Source organism: Homo sapiens, chromosome 1 (assembly GCF_000001405.40).
Source record: "Homo sapiens chromosome 1, GRCh38.p14 Primary Assembly".
In the NCBI taxonomy this organism is placed as follows: Eukaryota; Metazoa; Chordata; class Mammalia; order Primates; family Hominidae; genus Homo; species Homo sapiens.
In genome coordinates, this window is record NC_000001.11 from 77507710 (window position 1) to 77530925 (window position 23216).

Below are 23216 nucleotides of genomic sequence, written 5' to 3' on the forward strand. Positions count from 1 at the left end.
GCATTATTACGTTGTAAATATAAAAAGAAAAATCAACAAAGACTTCCTGCAGTGACATTGGAGAGTTCACAGCAAATTGCCTTCCTTAGATTATCTAATCTAGAAGTTCCAAATCAGGCTAACCATCAGAATCACCTGGGGAATTATCCTTTTTTATTATGAAAATATTTCAAACATACAGCAAGCTGAAAGAATATTACAGTGAACACTTGTATACCCACCACCTAGTCTTCAATCAACATCTTACTACAAGCTGAGTATCCCTACTCCAAAAATCCAAAATCCAAAATGTTCCAAAGTCCTAATCTTTTTGCATGCCAACGTAACGCTCAAAGGAACTGCTCATTGGAGCATTTGGGATTTTGAATTTTAGGATTTGGGATGCTCAACTAGTAAGTATAATGCAAGTATCCCAAAATAAAAAAAAATTAAAATATAAAACACTTCTGATCCCAAGCATTTCAGATAAGGAGTGCTCCAACCTGTATATCTTGTCTTGTTATTTATCTGTCCCTCTATTCATCCATCAGTACATCTCTTTTTCCTGTCCACTTCCAAGTAAATTGCAGATGTCTGTACACTTTCCCTGGGGAATTTTCTAAAACTATAAGTTCCCAAGCCTCAGCCCAGAGATGTACAGATCTGCTAATTCAGGAATTTTTCCAAACAACTCCCCAGCTTCACTCTGGTAACCATGCTGATGGAGCCCTTATTAGCCGAAACATTACCAGTCTCATGGCAAAGGGAAAAGACCTGGCATACCATGTGCTGGGCGTAAAAACCTCTGCTCCAAACCAGTACACATCCACCTCTGCCCACATTTCATTGACCAAAACAAGTCCCTTGGAACTCTTAACTTCAAGAAGTTTGGGGCAGGCTGGGCACGGTGGCTCTCACCTGTAATACCAGCACTTTGGGAGGCTGAGGTGGGTGGATCACCTGAGGTCAGGAGTTCGAGACCAGCCTGGCCAACGTGGCAAAACCCCGTCTCTACTAAAAATACGAAAAACAGCCAGGTGTGGTGGTGGGTGCCTGTAATCCCAGCTACTCGAGAGGCTGAGGCAGGAGAATCACTTGAACCCTGGTGGCGGAGGTTGCAGTGAACCAAGATCATGCCATTGCACTCCAGCCTTGGCGGCAGAGCGAGACTCCATCTCAAAAAAAAAAAAAAGAAGAAGGTGGGGATGAGTAATCCTTCCACAGGCATGGGGAGAAGCACTATGGAAGGAAAGCTGGGATATTTAAGAAAGTAATACAATCTAACACAGGAAGCCACTCATTTAATTCAGCTTCTTCACTTTACAGACAGAGAAGCTAGCACCCAAAGAGGCAAAGTGACTCTCCCAGAATCACTCGACTAGTTCAAAGCAGGAGTGGTCAAGAGCCAAGGTCCCCTAATTGACTTTCTTGTCATGTACAGGGTTGCCTCTGTGAAGCTCACAGATAGTCCATCATTCATTCACTGATATACTATACACGGGCACTGATAAATAAGGCATGGTTTCTGCTATCAAGACATTCCCAGTCCCATTTAAAGTTTTTCCATATAACCTTCAGCTGACCCTGGCATATTTCCACATATTCACCAAATAACCTGAAGCAGTCAGTGCTTTTCAGAACTAATAAAGATGTTGTCTTTGAGGATAAAGATCTATTTATCTCAATTGTTTTCGGTCCAAGAGTGTCAGTTCCCAGCAACAGCCTGCTGAAGCTTGGCACAGTGATGCAGCTCTTCCCAGATGGAGAAGGTTTCAACTGACCCATGGGCCCAGAATGGTTGAGGATCATTCTTAGGGCACGGTCAGTTCATGATCTGATGGCATAATAATTTTTCTCAGAAAAGAGTCATTCGGTCACAAAAACCTTAACCCAACATAGGGACCTATTTTCATTTAGGGAGAAAGAAATATTTCAACAGGCAGAAATATGATAGATTTCTAAAATATGAAGATTAGAAATAAGATAGTTTGATTTGCAAAAGATATTTGATCCTCTCACAAGCTGTAACTGGGAAGGCTATGCACCTTTAAAGGTGTTAAAACAGTACCAGGATATAAAACTGCTGTGTCCAACCTTTGTAAGCTCATGGAATTTTACTGGGAGTAAGTTAGAAAGAGTTAGAAAGACTTTTAAACATCACCAACAGTAGCTGCCTCATTTTGCAGATAATAATTATGATGTTTATTGTGTGTTTCACTTTGCCAGCTACCAATCCAAGAGATTCACATGCATTATTTTGTCCTCACAACCAACAGGTATTGTGACCACCCCCATTTTGTAACTGAAGAGGTTGAAGCTCAGAGCAGATATGTGACTTGATCAAAGTCATCTAACCAGATGGAGAATGGCCTGAGGTGTGAACCTGGAACTCAAGCCCTTGGGTCCAGTGATCCTTTTATGTGAAAGGAGCAGAGTTGTCATTTTTGTGGGGCCACAGGCTCCTGGACACTGGCTCTTGTTAACAATTGTCTATGACACTGGGCCAGGTTCTGTGGGGATGCCAGCCTAAGTGAAGTGGTTTCTGCCCTCTGCGAGCTTCAGCCTGGCAAAGAAAGGAAGAGAACGTGAGCAAACTGTGTGTGCTAGAGGCCAGAGAAAGAGAGAATTTTGAGATGTTGGTCGTTGGTGTTACAGAGTCAAAGGTATCAAAGACTAGAAGCAAGCCAAAAAGTAATATGACAAATATGCAATCACTGTTGAACTATAAAAGAGCAATTTCAGAATGTGATGAGGTATGAGATAGTTTCCAAGAGGATAGGGAGTCAATAAATGAAGAAGAAATGGAAACAGGCAGTTTTCCGCTGCTAAAAAAAAGAAAAAGAAAGAAAGAAAAAGAATACAAAGATAACTCAGAGGACACACGCAATGGTAGAAATATTTTCATTTGGACTAGGGAGAACCGAGCTGATGTTATACAGAAGAAAAGATGCCAACCGAGAGAAATATATTTCATATGGACAAAAAAGAGAGCGTCAAGTTCTTGGAACAGGCAGGAGAGGATCCATTTATCATTAAATTTTTTAGTCTTTCAGCTGCTATTATAAAGTGTCTATTATATTTCAGGCACTGTGTTTGTGCACCATGACGAGCAAAGCAGACCCAGATCCCATACTCAGATACCATAGAGCCTAATAAGGAAGACAAAATTTTAAGTAAATAATATATATCATACATATAAACTAGATACATGTATCTGTACATACATATGCTTTATCTATTAATATATTTTATATGTATATAATTTCCCTGCTTTGTCTCCTGTAAAATATAATATATATATTTACATTATATATATTTCTATTTTATTTATATTCATATTTATATTTTACGGGGCCAAAGCAGGGAAATCATATATATAGTACCACAATAGCTGGTAAAATAGTACCACAGTATAAAAAAAGCTGCATCCAACCTTTGTAAGATTATGGAATTTTACTAGGAATAAGCTAGAAAGGTTTCTAACCATCACCAACAGTAACTGCCTCATTTTACAGATAATAATTCTGATCCTTATTGTGTGGACTGGGGAAAACTGAGCATGACATTACACAGAAAAGAAGCTGCCAACCAAGAGAAATAAATTTCATCTGGACAAAAAAGAGGGTATCAAGTTATCTGTAATATATGTATGTATTTTATGGGAGCCAAAGCAGAGAAATTAGCCTTAAGCTAAATGGCATAAAGTTTTCCAAACAGGATAAAGAAGGATGGAGGGCAAAGGATAGAAACATCAATGTTTTGAAAATGCTGAGGAAATGAGACAGTCTTCATCTTAGTGAGTAAGAGGGTTAAAAATGTTAAGAGTGAGAGGAATGAGGATGTGTTGAAGGACAGTGGGAAATATTAGCATCCATTCATGGACATCCAATTGATGTCCAACTTGATACCAGGAGAAAGAAGGATATTTGCCAAGAAGCATTAAAAACTATTATGAAGTTAGATAGCATGACTCAGTTGGCTCAGTTTTTGGACTCTCTCAAGGGAACTCTTAGCAGCCCAGAGTAGATGCAAATAAAGCCTATGGTGGCCTGGGCAGGGAGAGCAGGCTGATGGTGACACGGCAGGTTCCATAGAACTGAAGTAGGGCAAAGGATTCAAAGTTGCTAGAAAGGGGCTGGCGTCCAGCTAGCTAGGGAGGTAAGTGGAGCTCAAAGGGAATGGGCCAACCCTGTGAGGTCATAACGACAGCAAGGAACAAGTTGAGAAGTGAGGTCAAGGGAAAAGTGAAAGGGAGAGAAAGATGCTATCAGAGTGGGAGAATAGATCCAAATAACGAACGCTCAGTTTCAGCTAGAGCTGCAGGGGGCTGAAATTGGGTTAGTGATGAAGGTCATTGGTGCTGAGGAGGCTTAAATACCTCTCAGACTGGGGTGGAATAGGAATTAAAGCCTAGAAAGCTTTGTTGATAGCAATTAAACCCAGACAATACTGTTCTCTCTGCTTTGAAACTTAGAGAAAATAAACGTTGAGTTCTAAACTAGATACGTATATCTTCACATACGCTGTCACATATATACGTATGTGTGTGTGTGTGAGAGAGAGAGAGACAGAGAGAGAGAGAGATCGTGCACACACGGGTATATCTTAAGTACCTGCAAGTGGCCTGGAAGTCTGGAATTAATGGCTAGTTCCCAAATTCATTACTGACTTTGGATTATGTTTAATTTAAACCTTGATGTGCCAGACAACGTAACTCAGGAAGAGCTATAGAGGTGTATAACCCCCCTTCATTGTAAATAGCTTTTGCCAAGCACCAATATTTTAACAGAGAGATGGGAATAGGAACATTTTTGTTGACATTTGGGGGAACGGGACAAATTTCAGAGACTTTTTTTTTATTATACTTTAAGTTTTAGGGTACATGTGCTAGTTCAACCATTGTGGAAGTCAGTGTGGTGATTCCTCAGGGATCTAGAACTAGAAATACCATTTGACCCAGCCATCCCATTACTGGGTATATACCCAAAGGACTATAAATCATGCTGCTATAAAGACACATGCACACGTATGTTTATTGCGGCACTATTCACAATAGCAAAGACTTGGAACCAAGCCAAATGTCCAACAATGATAGACTGGATTAAGAAAATGTGGCACATATACACCATGGAATACTATGCAGCCATAAAAAATGATGAGTTCATGTCCTTTGTAGGGATATGGATGAAGCTGGAGACTTTTCAAATGTAGACTTGACAGAGCTTGGCAACTGATCAGGTATGGGAGATGAGGAGGGAGACCCTAAAGTGGAATGAGGCAGAAAGTTGGTGATTATTTCCCCCCATTTTACAGATAAGAAACTAAGATTCAGAGAAATTAAAAGATTGCTCTATAACCACGTGACTAGTAAGTGGTGGAACCAGTGTTGATTGTCAGATCACCCATCCCGTGCCCTTCATGATACTTCATACTCCTCCACTTCCACCCCTGTGCAGATGCAGAGCCCTTTCATGCTCCAAGTTCCATTACTGAAGACACCAGGCTCAGCCTTATGCCATCTTTCCCACACTTTCCTTGTGCTGGCAAAGGTGATTAATTACCCTTCCCCTTCCTAAGGAGTCCCAGCCAGTGCTTCTGCGATGGTGTTTACAGCCCCCACTCATAGAACCTATCACACTGCTGTGATGATGGTTCCCCTGTCCATCCTCCCCACTAGATTGTGACCTCTCTGATGGAAAAGACCCAGTTCTGGGTCTTTTTATTTCTAGTGCTTAGCAGTGTCAAACCCATTCTAGCTGTCCAATAGATGTTTCTTTAAAAAGAGCTGTGTTAATTAACTTCATGCTTAATTCCAGGTAACATCCTGGAGTTAGTAAGATGCAATAAAATGTCAACAAAAGTCATTTTAGGCCAGGCCCAGTGACTCACACCTGTAATTCCAGCACTTCGGGAGGCCGAGGTGGGCGGATCACTTGAGGTCAGGAGTTCGAGACCAGCCTGGTCAACGTGGTGAAACCTTGCCCCTACTAAAAATACAAAAATTAGCCAGGAGTGGTGGCACTCGCCTGTAGTCCCAGCTACTCGGGAGGCTGAGGCAGGAGAATCGCTTGAACCTGGGAGGCGGAGGCTGGTCCTTATCTTAAGGAGTCCAGCTCAGGATGCTGAATCCAGGAGCTATCTCACAGGAGAGGATTGCTCCTGTCAATACAAAGCAAACTGGAAAACGTGACCCACGTGGGCATGCCGAGGTGATGCAGATGGTTTCAGTTCTACTTCTCAAAGAACACCAGGTACCGAAGAGAAGGCAGACTTAGACTCCCTGGGCTGGCAATTCCCATACAGTCTCTCCCCTCCCTTCCTTCTGTGGCAATGCTGTCGAGACCTGTAGGGAAATGACTTACTCAGATGCAAATTGGGCGTTCACAGTACATGCACTTTTCACAATATATAGCACCTTTGGCCTCACAGGGAACGCTTTTTACATTTTTCCACCTTTTTTTGAGGTATTCACAGACAACTTCAAAATAGAATCTCATATTCCACAATCTCTTTGTGAATCATATCACGTGGTATGGTGTATGGGCTTATTCAGGGGTTCGAGCCTTGGGTAATGGTACACTAAAAATGAGTGAGATGACAGTAAATGTGACAGCTCCTGTCTGTCATCAGTCGTCTTGCCACCAGAGGACACAGCCCACTCATTCTGAGATGCGGTTCCTCAAAATATCTTTTGCCGGGTAACAAATTATCCTGGAGGGATATCAAGGCCCCATTGTTTTTTTATTTAAAAGTCATAAGTTAAGACCTCAAAGATATGTCGGTGGCAGTATATGAAAATTTATGTTTCTACCAGCAGTTTTTGTGCTTTCACTGCAGTGATAAAATCACTTTGTTTTTCAGTTTGGAGCCAAGGGAAGAATCAAGCTATTGTGTAGATTACTTAAAATTCCACAGTGCCTGCGCCATTTGGCCAAAGAATGCTAAAAATTTGCAGCTGTTGCTCCCACGAAAGTTTCTAACTGGGGCAGCGGCTGCTGTTCAACACACAGCTGTTGTTAATTTGAGCTGAAGATTTTTAATTGCCTTTGTGTCGAGATTTATTAAATAACATTTTAGAGGAACAAAAACTGTAATAGTCATATTAGCAGGATGCTAAAGGAAGAAAATAATTGGAACATGGCATTTTTGCCTTGTAAGCCAAGTCTGAAAATATCTTTTCCACATGGAGGGCTCCCAACCATCCCAGGAAAAGCATTTCCAGGTAAATCCAGCCACAGAAGCCCTGATGGCCTTTTCAGGAGCTCAGCCACTTGCACCCCTTAGTCATTTACCTGGAAGCACCACTTCTCCAGAGTGGCCACCTTGTTCCCACACTCTCCATTCCTATTATACTGAGAGACGGGAGGCATAGTGCTTACAGTAAACATAGCATTAGCTGGCAGTTGGCTGCTTCTTTAAGTGGTCTGCATTATTTTGGGGAGCCTCCATAATTGCTGTTTTCCTATTACATCCAGCCCATCCCTGACTCCCTGACAATACTATGAGGGGTCTGACCTCCTCCCCATTTGGCTTAGAGCAGCTGTATAGATGAGCAGAAGATAGAAAACTCAGACCTTTCCTGGATTTTCTGGCAAGGCAAAGAAGGGGGAAGGAGGGGCCCTTCTATTAGAAAGGGTCAACAACTAATGTTGTCCCTTAAGAGGGAAGTTGCCAACCGCACAAAGAAAGGAGTTTTAAGTATGAAAAAAGGCAAACCAGGAAAACCGCAGAATGAGTTGTAAATCCTCATTACCATACTAAAATTTCAATCATGTTTTGCATGCTGATGGTAAATGTTTCCTTTTAGCAAGAAAACTTTGTCAGGCATTTATGGTGCACTTACGATGTGCAAAGTGCTGTGTGATGTGCTCAGGGCACCCAGAGAAGCTTGCAGGGCCGGCGACCAGTGAGGGAGCTGCAGCCCAAGAGTAAGACAGGCAGGGAGCACCCGGCGCTGTTTACAGCATTGGCTCCAACAGAGCTGAGGGTGAGAGGTCTGGCTCCTGCCAGAAGGGGGAAACATGTGATCTGGACCTAAGGGCTGAGGACGACCTTGATCATTAAAAAAAAGGATGAATGTGACCGGGCACAGTGGCTCAGGCCTGTAATCCCAGAAGTTTGGCAGGCTGAGGTGAGAGGATCGCTTGAGGCCAGGAGTTCAAGACCAGCCTGGGCAACATAGCAAGAGACCCTGTCTCTACAAAAAATCTGAAAATTAGCTGGGTGTGGTGATGTGCACCTGTGGGACCCGTAGTCCCAGCTAACTCAAGAGGCCAAGGCAAGAGGATTGCTTCAGCCCGGGAGTTTTGAGTTCAAGGATGCAGTGAACTGTGATTGTGCCACTGTGCTCCAGCCTGGGGACAGAGCAAGACCCTATCTCAAAGAAAAAAAAGAAAGAAAGAAAAGATGAATGGGTAAAAAAATGTGCTAGAATATAGAATATTATTCAGCCATAAAAAGACAGAAATCCTGCCATTTGTGACAACATATTGGAAGACATTATGCTAAGTGAAATAAGCCAGGCACAGAAAGACAAATACTGCATGATCTCACGTGTACGTGGAATCATAAAAAGTCAAATTCATGGAAGCAGATTGTAAGAATGGTGGTTGCCAGGGGCTAGGGAAGTGAGGAGATGTGGTTCTGGAGACCTCATGTACAGCATGATGGCTACAGTTAACAACACTGTATTGTATACTTGAAATTAGCTAGAATAGATGTGAAATGTCTTCAGCACCAGAAAAAAAAAAGATTATGTGAGGTGGAGGTTTATTAACTTGATTGTGGTAATTATTTCACAATATATATGTATATCAAACATCACATTGTACATCTTAAATTTATAGTTTTATCAATGATACCTCAATAAAGCTGGGGGAGAAAACAAAGAGAAGAGGAGGAAGGAAGGGCCTTTCAAGCTGAGGACCAAGAAGAACAAAAGCGTGGTAGCCTGGAAAAGTCTGTGTGGGCATAGGAGGCCATTGAATGCTATGGAGGTGGGAGTGCCCTCCTTTCCAGGCACATGGAAAGCATTGAAAGTCCAAGAATTGTGTTAGTTGGACATGACAGTGCTGGAGGAGGGTAAGAAATGGGGAGAGGGGCCCGGCACAGTGGCTCATGCCTGTAATCCCAGCATTTCAGGAGGCTGAGGCGGGTGCATCACTTGAAGCCAGGAGTTCGACACCAGCCTGGCCAACGTAGTGAAACCCTGTCTGTATCAAAAAATACAAAAATTAGCCAGGCATGGTGGTGCGCACCTGTAATCCCAGCTAATTGGGAGGCTGAGGCAGGAGAATCACTTGAACCTGGGGGGTGGAGGTTGCAGTGGGCTGAGATCACACCACTGCACTCCAGCCTGGTCGATAAAGCAAGACCATCTCAAAAAAAAAAAAAAAGAAGAAGAAGAAATAGCGGGGAAAGATGCTGGAGAGGTAAAGTCGGACTAGATTCTGGAGAGTTGGGGTGCTGCTGTAGGGAATTTGAATTTTACTCTGGGAGCATAGGAGGCCATTGAGTGCTATGGAGGTGGGAGTGCCCTGCTTTCCAGGCACATCATCCTGCTAGCAAGTCTGTGGGGCTCCAAAGCCCCTCCGATTCTGACATGCAGAGGTGGAGTGATTGCCATACGCCAGGCGGAGAAGATGAGGACCTGAAGTGTGGCCAGGTCAATGTGGCCACAATGGGGAGGAGAGAAGGGAACACCTCTGAGAGTCAGAGCCCAGGCTTCAAATCCTAGGCTTGCTACTCACTAGCAGTGCAGCCTAGGCAATGGATTTAACTTCTCTGTGCCTCTGCTTCCTCGTCTGTAAAATGGGAATAATAACAGTGCATGCCTCTTAAGGTTATTTTATATAACCTTGTACGTAATACCTAAAATGTTTAGAATAATGGCTGGTACAGTAAGCGCTTGATAAAGGTCAGCTATTATTATTATTTTCAGACATAAAATCCTATGACATACTATTATGAAAGGGATATGGCAGATACTCAGAATTGATAATAGCTAAGGAAAAAAATAAGGTAATAAAACATATTGAGGGACATTCTACAAAATAACTATTCATAATCTTCAAATGTGTCAAGGAAACCCACAGAAACTGTTCTATACTGAAGGAAAGCAGAAGGACATGGCAACTAAAGGCAATGTATGATCCTGAACTTGACCCATTGACTTCAGAGGACATTATTGAGTCAATTGGGACAATTCAGTTGAAATTTGTAGGGGTCCAAGGATATCATTATGATGGAGGATATGCTTGTTTCCTTGTTTGTAGGAAATGACACTAAAAGGTTCTGGAGTAAAGAGGCATCCAATTAGCAACTTATTCCCAAGTGTTTCTGAAAGTTCTTTGTCCTCACAACCCTTCTGTAAGTTGGTGATTGCTGAAAATAAAAACACTTATTTTTTTAAATTAAAAGCTAGCATTTGTTGAGCATTCACTAAGTATCAGGAATTGTGGCCAGTGCTTTGCACATGAGTGGGTTCGGTTCTCCAAGGAAACTTTTCTGACTTTGCATCTCTACCAAAACGGAGCCAAGTACCCCTCCTCTGTGCCCCGATAGTAGGCTGTACTCATCTTCACTAACTGCCTGTGACCATGGGTTACAAGTGGTCTATGAAAAGTAACTGCTTGTTTTTCTGTAACACCTGCCCCCTCCCGCTTCATGGATAATCTAAGCTCTTTAAAGGCAAGGGCTGCATCCCATTCTCCACTTGCATCCACCACTCTCAGCACAGCTCCTGGTATAGCAAATCTCAAGTTCCCAATACATGCTTAGTGACTGGAACACTGAGGCTTGCTCACCATGGTGACTACCATTAAAAATGAGGCACCAGACTTGGAATGCATGTCTGACACATGACTTCTTTTCAAGGTGGTCCTGGCTCTGGCAAAGGCACACAGTGTGAAAAGCTGGTGGAAAAATATGGATTTACACATCTCTCAACTGGCGAGCTCCTGCGTGAGGAACTGGCATCAGAATCTGAAAGAAGCAAATTGATCAGAGACATTATGGAACGTGGAGACCTGGTGCCCTCAGTAAGCAACATGGCCTGACCCACATTACTGCCTTTCCTGTCTGGGGAGACCTTTGGGGTTTTTGTAATGAATCTGAGCTGCTGGAACTAAGAAACCCAAAGAAACAATAGCTGTATATTATTTCCCTCCTTTGCAGCAATCCAGATGCAGGCAGGTCTACAGCAGACAGACCTTCTACTCAACCAGGTCGAGCTGGCCCAGGCTCCTTCCATCTTGTTGCTCTACCAGGCCCTCAAATGTTGGCCTAATTTCACATTTTTCCCCTAAATTCATCCCACTTTAGAATTGGAAAGGCTTCAAAATAGAAGTGAGTGTGGTGCAGCAGAGCCTAGAATTAGAAACCCCCAGAAAATATAAAATAATGCTTTGGTTTAGTTCTGGGAGGTATGATTATCTTGAAATTTGGTATCTTCTTGTGTAATTTAAGAATATCCCCTTTTCTATCTTTTTTCTTCTAAAGTCACCATCCATCTCTAAGAAGCTGAATGGTAGGGATATCAAGAAATATTCATCCCTGCCACACTGGGTCCCATGATAGGCTCTGTAATGAGGGCCGTATGATACAGTCTCTGTTAGCAACAGAGCTGTCTGATTTCTCTATAACCAGCTGCACTCTGTTTCCCACCTGGAAGCCAGAATGGTCCTCATGAAAGGAAAACAGACCATTACAGCTGCCACTTAGCTGGCCTCCTGGAGCCCACTCTTTTCCCTAAAGTCTCCTCTTTTCACAGCAGCTGTTACCAGAAAGGGGTCCCAATCCAGACCCCAAGAGAGGGTTCTTGGATCTTGTGCAAGAAAGAATTCAGGGCAAGTTGTAAAGTGAAAGGAAGTTCATTAAGAAAGTAGAGGAATAAAAGAATGGCTGCTCCATGGACAAAGCAGCCCCAAGGGCTACTGGTTACCCATTTTATGTGTTATTTCTTGATGATATGCTAAACAAGGGATGGATTATTCATGCCTCCCCTTTTTTACCATATAGGGTAACTTCCTGACATTGCTGTGGCATTTGTAAACTGTCATGGCGCTGATGGGAGTGTAGCAGTGATGACAACCAGAGGTCACCCTTGTTGCCATCTTGGTTTTGGTGGGTTTTACCCAGTTTCTCTACTGCAACCTGCTTTATCAGCAAGGTCTTTATGACCTGTGTCTTGTACTGACCTCCTATCTCATCCTGTGACTTAGAATGCTTAACCTGGCAGGGCGCAGTGGCTCATGCCTGTAATCCCAGCACTTTGGGAGGCCGAGGCAGGTGAATCACGAGGTCAGGAGTTTGAGACCAGCCTGGCCAACATGGTGAAACCCCATCTCTACTAAAACTACAAAAAATTAGCTGGGCATGGTGGCGGGCACCTGTAATCCCAGCTACCTGGAAGACTGAGGCAGGGGAATTGCTTGAACCTGGGAGGCAGAGGTTGCAGTGAACCAAGATCACGCCTCTGCACTCCAGCCCAGGCAACAGCGTGAAACTCCATCTCAAAAAAAAAAAAAAAAAAAGAGAATACCTTAACCTTCTGGGAATGCAGCCCAGTAGGTCTTAGCCTTATTTTATCCAGCCTTTATTCAAGATGGAGTTGCTCTGGTTCAAACACTTCTGACACAGCCAGAATGATTTCTTTGAAACATTTATCAAAGTGTGTTATTCCCTTCCTCAAAACCTTCCAATGGCTGCCCGCCACACTTAGGATGAAATCAGAGTCCTTTCTGTAGCTCTGGCCTCCAGCTCCCTCTCCAGTGTTATTTCTCACCACTCTCACCTTGCTCACTCCCACCCACCACTAGCCTCCTTGTTCCTCCCACAAGTCAGCCTGTTCCTGCCTCAGGGCCTTTGCATTTGCTGTGTCTGCAGCCTGATGCTCTCCCTTCATACAGTCACATAGTTTGGTCCTTGACTTCATCCAGATCTCCACTTCAGTGTTACACTTTATCAGATGCCTTCCCTGACCACCCTATAGAAAGTAACACCTCTAGCATTCTGTACCTCTTTGTCCTGCTTTAATTTTGTACCTATCAGTTATCTTCGCTGACTCTTCATTATATATTTATTTGTTCATCTATGGTCTGTCTTCTTCATTAGAATATAAACTTCATGAGGACTTCATTCACGATTATCTAGGGATAGATTCTAACCACACTTGCAATGGCCGCATTCCCCAAGCCCCTGCCAAAAGCCAGAGAGCCCACGAAAAGGGAATTCCTCCACTGGCAGCTGATTGCGTTTTTCCTCTACCAATTTCCAGACTCTGGTGTATTTCTCCTACTTCATTTACCATAGCACTTGCTAAATACAAATTTTCAACAAAGAAAGTGATGTTACTTGAAAATGCTACTTTACATCTACCTAAAGTCTTTTAAGTCAGTAGATGTCAAATTTTATAAAATATTTACTGGAAAAAAAGTTAACAGTAAGATACCTTTTTTTTTTTTTGAGACACAGTCTCGCTCGTCACCCAGGCTGGAGGGCTGTGGCAGGATCTTGACTTGCTGCAGTTTCCACCTCCCGAGTTCAAGCGATTCTCCTGCCTCAACCTCCTGAGTAGCTGGGATTACAGGTGCCCACGGCAATGCCCGGCCAATTTTTGTATTTTTAATAGAGATGGGGTTTCACCATGGTGGCCAGGCTGGTCTTGAACTCCTGACCTCAGGTGATCCACGCACCTCGGCCTCTCAACATGCTAGGATTACAGGCATGAGCCACCGCACCCGGCCAGTAAAATACTTTTTATACCATGTTTTGTCTAGTTTTAAATTGCCATTATGCCTAATTCATGGAGTGCTACCATATGAAATGCAGCTACCTTACCTCATCTAATCTAAGATGCCAATATTTTAAGACAGATAACTGGTAAGAATATACCAGTAAGAAAAAAACACTAACAATTAAACTATGACTCAGAACTGATTATAAATACCTGCCAATTTCATAGATATTAAAATATGGGGTGGAGGTGGAAGAGTGAAATGAAATATGGTCAATTGCTGTCTGCTGTTAACCTTACCTGAACCTTCCTCCCTCCCTCAGTGGATGACTGAAGGAGACTTGGGGTACTTCTAGTGTTCTGTGAAAGAGCTCAGGTCCTGACCACTCTCGCTTTGCTCCAGGGCATCGTTTTGGAGCTCCTGAAGGAGGCCATGGTGGCCAGCCTCGGGGACACCAGGGGCTTCCTGATTGACGGCTATCCTCGGGAGGTGAAGCAAGGGGAAGAGTTCGGACGCAGGGTGAGTGGTTGTTACGGGCATCCTTCCAGAAGAAAAATAGGGGACATCCTTGAGGTTGGGTGATAATTCAAAGTCTATTTCTTTCCCAATTACATTAATGAAAACTTTAAGGGGCAGAAACTTGACTCAAACTAGAAATTTAAAAAAAGGAGATTTATTGACTTAAGTAACTAAAACACCCAGCAGTGGTTTAGATTTGGTTGACTCCAGATATCCAAATGTGTTCATCAATTGTCTGACTCTCTCTCTCTCTCTCTAATTCTCTTTCCTTTGTGTTGGTCTCATTTTCTTCCTGATCAAGGCTTACCTTCTACCATCTAAGTGGCTTCATAGAAAAGTGTTTCTGTTTCCCAGTGGGTCCAGCAAAAGACCCAGAGTTGTGTTTCCTATCCTGGATTTGGTCACAGTCCCATCATCACTGAACCAATTACTGAGGCCGAGAGGGAAGAAGAGGGAATACGCTGGCTGGCCCAGCCTGGAGGACCAAGGAAGGATGGGAAGGGAGGAGGGAGCAAGGGCACCACACCTGAACCACACAGGGAAGGAAAATTACCCCCAGGAAAAGTAGGGCTGCCCTTACAAGAAGACGGGGGAATGGGTGCTGGACAGGCAGAATCAGAACTACACACCACCCTCCCACTATCCTCCCACCATCCCACCTCCCTGCCCACCCTCTCCTAGTGAGGAGGGTGGGTCAGGGATACTCACAGGGGAGCAGCAGTAAGTAAAAACCATTGTGGCTGCCACGTATTGAACCCACTCTGGGCCAGATCCTGTGCCCACACTTTATAGAGAGTACCTGTAATCTTACAAGTCCAGGCAAGAAGGGTAAAACTGGCCTCATTGTTAAACAAATACTGACTTGAGAACTTAAAAGAAATTCATATTTATAGAGATATCTCTTCAGACTAGTTTTGAAACATTTTTCATATACAGTTTTCTCGTTTTTTTTTAATAACCTTTTTAGATAGATAGGGGAAGTATTGTCCTCATGTTAAAGGTGATGAGTGAAGCCCAGAAAGGGTTAATGACTTCCCCATGGCCACACAGCTGGTGACAACTTACTGGTAAGTGCCAACTGCTAGCAGGACTAAGATTTTGCGGGACCCATCGCCATCCACTTCTAGTAACATTGATTGAGGTGAATTATACTTGTGTGTCTCTGGGGGTTTACTTTGACCTCCTTCTGAGCCTGTTTCATTTAATTTCCTTAGTGTCAAAATACTTCAAGGTCAATTGCTCATCTTCCCCTACACTTCCTACATGAAACCAGAGTCAAAGAAAACATGTCTAGGTCTAGTTGGCATGGGTGGACCCTGGACCCATTCTGGCTGTCCCTCGACTCCAGAGCTTCCATCAGCAAGATGGGGGTGGGCAGGGAGAAGTGGATTTGCAGAGCAGAGCCCCATTACTGTGGAAGTTTTAGGCAGTTCTTGATGGGGGACACTCACATGCCCAAGTTCTAATGAGCTTTTTCCCATGAAAAAAATCACTTCAAGAGCACAAACCTCAATATAAATTAACTAGTTTTTTACAAGATGGAATTGGGAGCGTTGTTCTACTTTTTAAATAATTGTGGTAAAATAGACATAACAAAATTTGTCATCTTAACCATTTTTAAGTGTACAGTTCAAGGATGTTAAGTACATTCATATTGTTATGAAACCATCACCACCATCTTGAGAACTCTTTTTATCTGCTAAACTGAAACTCTACCTACTATTTATTTTATTTATTTTTATTTTTGGAGACAAGGTTTTGCCCTGTTGCCCTGGCTGGAGTGCAGTGGTGCATTCATAGCTCACTGCATCCTCAACCTCAAGGCCCAAGCAATCCTCTCACCTCAGCCTCCTGAGCAACTGGGACTGCACCACCACACCCAGCTAAACTTTTTGATTTTTTGTAGAGATGGGGATCTCACTCTGTTACAAGGGCTGGACTTGAACTCCTGGGGTCAGGTGATCCTCTCACCTCAGCCTCCCAAAGTGCTGGGATTACAGGTGTGAGCCACCGCACCTGCCTGAAACTCTACCCTCTCCCTCCTTTCCCCAGCTCCTGACAACCACCATTTTTCTTCCTATCTCTGTGAATTTCACTATTCTAGGTACCTCTTATTTCACTTAACAAAATGTCCACAAGGTTCATTAATGTTGTAGCATGTGTCAGAATTTCCTTCCTTTTCTGGGTCAAATAACATTCCATTGTATGTATATGCCACATTATTTTTATTCATTCACCTATCGATAGAGACTGGGGTTGCTTTCACTTTCTGGCTATTGTGAATAATGTTGCCATGACTACATGTGTACAATATCTGTTCAAGTTCCTGCATTAGTTCTTTTGGGTATATACCCACAAGTGGAATTGCTAGATCATATGGTAATTCTATTTTTAATTTTTTGAGGAGCCACCATACTACACATATACATACATACTGCCAGCCATAGTGGCCACACCACTTTACATTCCTACCGACAATGCGTGAGAATTTCAATTTCTTCTCACCAACACTTGTTATTTTATGGGTTTTTTTGATAGTGGCCATCCTAATGGGTGTGAGGTGGTATCTTATTGTGGTTTTGATTTGCAGTTCTCTAATGATTAGTGACATTGAGCATCTTTTCATGTGCTTTAAATGAAGTTGTTTTCTTTTTGTTGTTGTCTAGTTGTAGGAGTTCTTTATATATTTTGGATAGTAACTCCTTATCAGATATATGACTTACAGATATTTTCTTTCATTTGATAGGCTGTCTTTTCACTCTTTTGGTTGTGTCCTTTGATGCACAAAAGCTTTTCATTTTGGTGTAGTCCAATTTATCTATTTTTACTTCTGTTGCCTGTGCTTTTTGTCCTGTACAAGAAGTTATTACCTAATCCCCATGAAGCCTTCCCTCCGTATTTTCTTCTAAAAGCTTTGTAGTTTTAGCGCTTATATATTTAGGTATTTTGATCCAGTTTGTTTGTTTGTTTCTTTGTTTGTTTGTGATGGAGTTTCAGTCTGTCGCCCAGGCTGGAGTACAGTGGTGAATCTTGGCTCACTGCAACCTCTACCTACCAGGTTCAAGCAATTCTCGTGCCTCAGCCTCCCAAGTAGCTGGGACTACAGGCACATGCCACCACGCCTGGCTAATTTTTTTGTACTTTTAGTAGAGACGGAGTTTCACCATGTTGCCCAGGCTTGTGTTGAACTCCTGGCCTCATGTGACCCGCCTGCCTTGGCCTCCCAAAGTGCTGGGATTACAGGCGTGAGCTACCATGCCCAGCCTTGATCCATTTTCAGCTAATTTTTTATATATGGTGTCAGATTATTTTGCATACGGATATCTAGTTTTCCCAATGCCATTTGTTGGAAGAATATTTTCTCCTACAGAATGATCTTGACATTTATGTTAGTCCGTTCGCATTGCTATGAGGAATACCTGAGGCTGGGTAATTTATAAAGAAAAGAGGTTATTTTGGCTCATGGTTCTGCAGCCTGTACAGGAAGCATGGCATTGACATCTGCTTCTGGTGAGGCCTCAGGAAGCTTCCACTCACAGCGGAAGGTGAGGGAGAAGCCAGTGCATCACATGTTGAGAGAGAGATGGCAGAGGCCCCTGACGCTTTTCTATAATCACATCTTCCATGAACTTAGAGAATGAGAACTCAGTCATTACCACGAGGATAGCACCAAGCTGTTCATGAGCAATCTGCCCCCATGACCCAAACACCTCCAACTGGCCCCACTTCCAACACTGGCGGTCACATTTCAACATGGGATTTGGAGGGAACAAATTCCAAACCATACTAGCATCCTCATGAAAAATCATTTGACCATATATATGTGAGAGTTTATTTTTGGACTGTCTATTCTATTGGTCTATATATCTGTCTTTATGCCTGTACCACATTCTTTTGATTACTGTAGCTTAGTAATAAGTTTTGAAATCAGGAAGTGTGAGACCTCCAGCTTTGTTGTTCTTTTTGGTGATTGTTTTGGCAATTGAGGGCCTCTTGAGATTCTATATGGTTTTAAAATGATGTTTCTATTCCTGGAAAAAAAAATTAGGATTTTGATAGGGATTACATTAAATCTGTAGATCACTTTGGGTAATATCGACATCTTAGCAATATTAAGCCTTCCATGGATTGTTTTAGATTTTGTTTATTCTAATCTTCTAGCCAACGTCTAGGCTGTGGATAAGTCCCTAGGGATACATTCTAAGTAACTGAGGAACAGGAGTATTTTTCTTACACCACCTTAGAATCAAGGCCTGTGCAGGGCTGGGGGGTTGGAGGGGAAAGGAAGAGGAAGGTGTGGTACAAACGTTGAGAAGCTTCCTGTCTATGAGGATTGGCAGTTGTGTAAACATGACACTAACATACAATTGTAGATGTGTAATAACTGCTGCAGGGTCAACAGTGTTTCAGGCTTTTCCCACTTACCTTGCCCTTGAACTTAAGGTTAGAAGAGCTCTGAGAGACCCTCCAGGAAAGTCAGGACAGGTCCTGCGCATGTTTGGAAGCGATGGGAATAAAAGTCTTTTTTTTTTTTTTTTTTTTTTTTTTTTGAGACGGAGTCTCGCTCTGTCGCCCAGGCTGGAGTGCCGTGGTGCGATCTTGGCTCACTGCAAGCTCTGCCTCCCGGGTTCACGCCATTCTCCTGCCTCAGCCTCCCAAGTAGCTGGGACTACAGGCGCCCGCCACCACACCTGGCTAATTTTTTGTATTTTTAGTAGAGATGGGGTTTCACCGTGTTAGCCAGGATGGTCTTGATCTCCTGACCTCGTGATCTGCCCTCTCAGCCTCCCAAAGTGCTGGGATTACAGGCTTGAGCCACCTCGCCTGGCCAAGTCTTTTTTTTTTTTTAATTGCTCTGAGAGGTGGTAGAACATTCTCTTGAAACCCTCAAATGATCGAGGACAAGATGTATAGTAAATAAATAAGGTCTCTCTCTCTCTCTCGGTCAACAACAACAAAATTAAATTATAATCCTTATTCTTCTTTGGGGAATTTTAAAATTGAGTCTGAAGGCAAACCCCAGAACTTAACGCCTATGGGGTTCCACATCATTTTGAGCAATGACAACCCTGGACCTTCCCAAGGTGGAATCATTAAAAGCATGTCACTCGTGTACTCTGGAGTCAGAAAATCTAGGTTTTCACCTGTCATTTATTATGGAGATAATAATACCTGTTAACACCTATTTAAAAGGTTTTGTAAACATCAGATCATATAACATGCATAAATGTCTTCTAAGCTATAAAAGTTTATAAAATATTATCTAGTTTAGCATCACTCATTTGTTAATCACACCTCATACAAGCCTCTAAAATTCCTGCTCCATCACCACTTCCTCCTTTGCTTAAAACCCAGTTAGGGTGAGCTCAGAGCTCTATGCAGCCCATTGGTCTGTCCTCTGGCGTAAGTATGAATTCAAATGGTCCATGTGATCTTCCCTAAAGTAAAGCAAAAAACTTCCTCTCCCACTGTGGTCCCCGTTCAGACCGGTTTTAGAATGTGGCAGAGAAGAAGCCTAACTAGAACTAAGGAACAAGAAAGTCATCAACATGGTGACTGGACAGTTACACTCAATGCTAAAATTCATGATTCCATTTCAAACAACACACAGGTAACACATTTCATTACTGAGCATACAACCGTTAAGTGAGATTTTAGACATCTACAAAGATGATTTCTTACATACTGCTAGGAGGAACTTACAGAGACCAAGAGTGACATTGATTTGTCCCTGGGTACAGTAACTTTAGAAGATTCTAGTATCAATTAAGCAGGTGTGCAAGAGAACACATCCAGCCCTCCAGAATGAGCTCCTGCTTTAAACCTGACCAGATGGCCGGGCACGGTGGCTCACGCCTGTAATCCCAGCACTTTGGGAGGCCGAGGCGGGCAGATCACCTGAGGTCAGGAGTTTGAGACAAGCCAGACTAACATGGCGAAACCCCGTCTCTACTAAAAATACAAAATTAGCGGGACGTGGTGGCACATGCCTGTAATCCCAGCTACTTGGGAGGCTGAGGCAGGAGAATCGCTTGAACCCAGGAGGCAGAGGTTGCAGTGAGCCAAGATCGCACCACTGCATTCCAGCCTGGGCAACAGAGTGAAACTCCATCTCAAATAATAATAATAATAATAAAACCTGACCAGATGAACAAAGATGCTACAAACACAGAATGAGCTACTGTTGACTCCTTAATGCCCTGCAGGGCCCTTCATTTGTAGCTCCCCTCCAAATTACAAGCAAGAAATTCATTTGAAATTTGACAAAGACAAATGCAGACATCTGATTTTCCCCAGAGATTCAAAGTAATCAGCTTGGTTGAAAGCATAGTATTTCCCCTAGTGCATCAGGCCTGCAACTATGTTTGAGGTCCATTCAAGCCTGGAGAGGTTTTAACCAGCCCACAAAAATCTCACCAGCCTTTCTGTGTCACCGAGATTGATGCGTCCGATGCATTGGACCATCAGTTCCTTTAAAAATTCAGTTAGTTAGGCTGACACTTTTGCATACCTGTAGCTGAGTTCTCCGAGATACAAGGTCCTTTGAGGATTTCCTTGGACACTGCATATGACATCGCTAAAAATCAAATGCAAACTAATGTCCACAGCTTAAGGGTAAGTCTATGTGTGGTTTCTGTTACCTTCCTATCTTCTATTCCCCAAGCTGGTTTTATCCCTGTTGAATTACAACCTATACCTTCAGTTTACAGAATGATTACTGGGGGAGGGGCTGTGTATATGTACATGTATGTAATGCATGTATGCATGTAGATGTGTGTAATGAGGCAGAAGGAATATGAGGGAGGAGTCAGGGTTTCTGATCACCATCCTCATTCCCCACTCCAGCTGAGAACCCCTGGTTATAGTGACTCTGGTGTGAACAGGCCTGTATTTGGAGCCTGGCTTTGTAATTCATTGGCTGGTAAGCAAGTCAGCTAACTTTGTAGATCTCCTTCTCCTCTTCTACAAAATGTTGGTTGGAAATACATACCTCAGTGATTGTTGGGAAGATTGGATGGGATCCTTGACAAGTGCCTTTACACACTTATAAGCCTACATATGGTGTTCAATAAGTCTTTACAGTTTTTTTAATAATGTGTATTTTTTCTGACTATAGAAATAAAAATTATATAGTATGAAACAATACACAAAAATATAAAACAAAGAATAACTAACCACCCAGTGATAATACCTATTAATATTTAATGTATGTTCTCCCCAAGCTTTGTTCTGCCTGTTTTTGCTTAGTTAAAATCATACAGAACATAGGAATAGTAATTATTTTTTGAGTACTTACAATGCGCCAGAAACTGAACTTGATGCTTTACACATTTCATTTGATTAATTTTTACAGTCCTACTTAACAGGTGTTAGGACCCCCGTTTTATAGGTTTTTTTTTTTTTTTTTGAGACGGAGTCTTGCTCTGTCCCACAGGCTGGAGTGCAATGGCGTGATCTCAGCTCACTGCAACCTCCGCCTCCTGGGCTCAAGTGATTCTCCTGCCTCAGCAGCGGGGATTACAGGTGCCCACCACCACGTCCAGCTAATTTTTATATTTTTAGTAGAGATGGGGTTTCACCATGTTGGTCAGGCTAGTCTTGAACTCCTGACCTCGTGATCTGCCCACCTCGGCCTCCCAAAGTGCAGGGACTATAGGCGTGAGCCATTTTATAGATTCTTACCATCTTGAGAAGGGCTCTGTGCTTAGCCTGACTCCCTGGTGTGAAATTGAAATGCTTTCCTGTATTAAGCCAATCTCATACTCAACATCAGCCAAATTAACCACATATTAACAGAAGTCATATTAACAAAAGTCATATTAATGGAAGTCATATTAACAGAAGTCATATTAATGGAAGTCATATTAACAGAAATCATATTAATGGAAGTCATATTAACAGAAGTCATATTAATAGAAGTAGAATGCATGGGTTTGCTCTTGGCTTTTCCCTCCCAAAAGACTCTTAGCTGAAATTCTGCCTTTAGCCAGAATATGTACATAACTCTCGTGGAGGTGGGAATGATGGCTTCACAGTGATCCCTCTGCCTTACTACTCTCAACTATCTCATGACACTTCATTGACAGAACCAGTGTTTCTGTTTATAAGTGTATTCTAATCTTCAGAATGAGCTCTTAACACACACACACGTGCACATATGCACACATACACAAAGTTTGAGTCTGGCCAAGGGAATGTCCAGTTGGTGTGTTCTAGTTGTTTAGAATTGTGGGGAGCCCTGGAGGCCACATAGGATTTTTCACTTGAGATGTTTCTGCTCTCTTCTGATTCCCGGTTCACTGCAGAACTTAGAGCTGCGTAATGGTGTGTGGGGGGAGAAGTTATATATCAATTGAGTAGTATTACTATCATTAGGGTTGTGTATTCAGGAATGCTGGAATGACCCAGATATTCCTCCTCTAGTGAGGTTCCCCCAAGGGGACATACCTCAAGGTGAGAGCAAATGAGAAATAGGCATGCCACTTTCTTTTCAGCCAGGGCCCTTTCCTGCCAGCACAGGGAGACTCTGGTAAACATGCTGTAGCATGCGACTTAGGCTAAAAGCCTGAGTGAGGCCGCTGACTCTTTCTAGACCTAAATCTGACCAGTGGGATACTTTACAGGTCAAAAGGATGACTATGTTGCAAAGCCCACCTTAAATAACATTAGCTCCCATTTATGTAGTGTTTGAAGTGAGTCAGGCGCTTTACATGTACAAACTCATTTAACCCTCACAATAGTCCTGTGAGTCAAATACTATTATTATCCTCATTTTTAAATGAGGAAACTGAGGCATACACCAAGAATAAGATAGTTGTTATTCTCAACAAAGAGTTCCTGGATGGCATGGAGAGCTCCTGCCCACTGGTAAACGTGGCCTAACCCCCATTCTGACTTAATCAGAAGAAAACTAAGGTGGGGGTGGAGTCAGAGGGCAGGAGGGCAAACTTCTCCTCCCGCTCCACTTGCTGGAATGACCAA

General features: G+C 42.8%; 1 protein-coding gene across 6 annotated transcripts in view, besides 1 other annotated feature; it reads left to right on the forward strand.

Moving 5' to 3' along the window:
• AK5 (adenylate kinase 5) overlaps positions 1-23216 on the forward strand; it is a 277948-nt gene that overhangs the window by 225691 nt on the left and 29041 nt on the right. For all 6 annotated transcript variants that reach the window (NM_174858.3, XM_005270739.6, NM_012093.4 and 3 more), the window contains 2 exons: positions 10855-11018; positions 14118-14234. In NM_174858.3, the coding sequence (NP_777283.1) occupies positions 10855-11018; positions 14118-14234 (281 nt within the window). The remainder of the gene's footprint in view (positions 1-10854; positions 11019-14117; positions 14235-23216) is intronic.
• Positions 6636-7604: an enhancer, noted in NCBI's record as "OCT4-NANOG-H3K27ac hESC enhancer chr1:77980030-77980998 (GRCh37/hg19 assembly coordinates)". NCBI's record gives its function as "activates a minimal SCP1, AML or CMV promoter by ChIP-STARR-seq in naive and primed H9 embryonic stem cells {active_cell/tissue: H9 hESC(naive and primed)}" and the evidence as "EXISTENCE:reporter gene assay evidence [ECO:0000049][PMID:30033119]".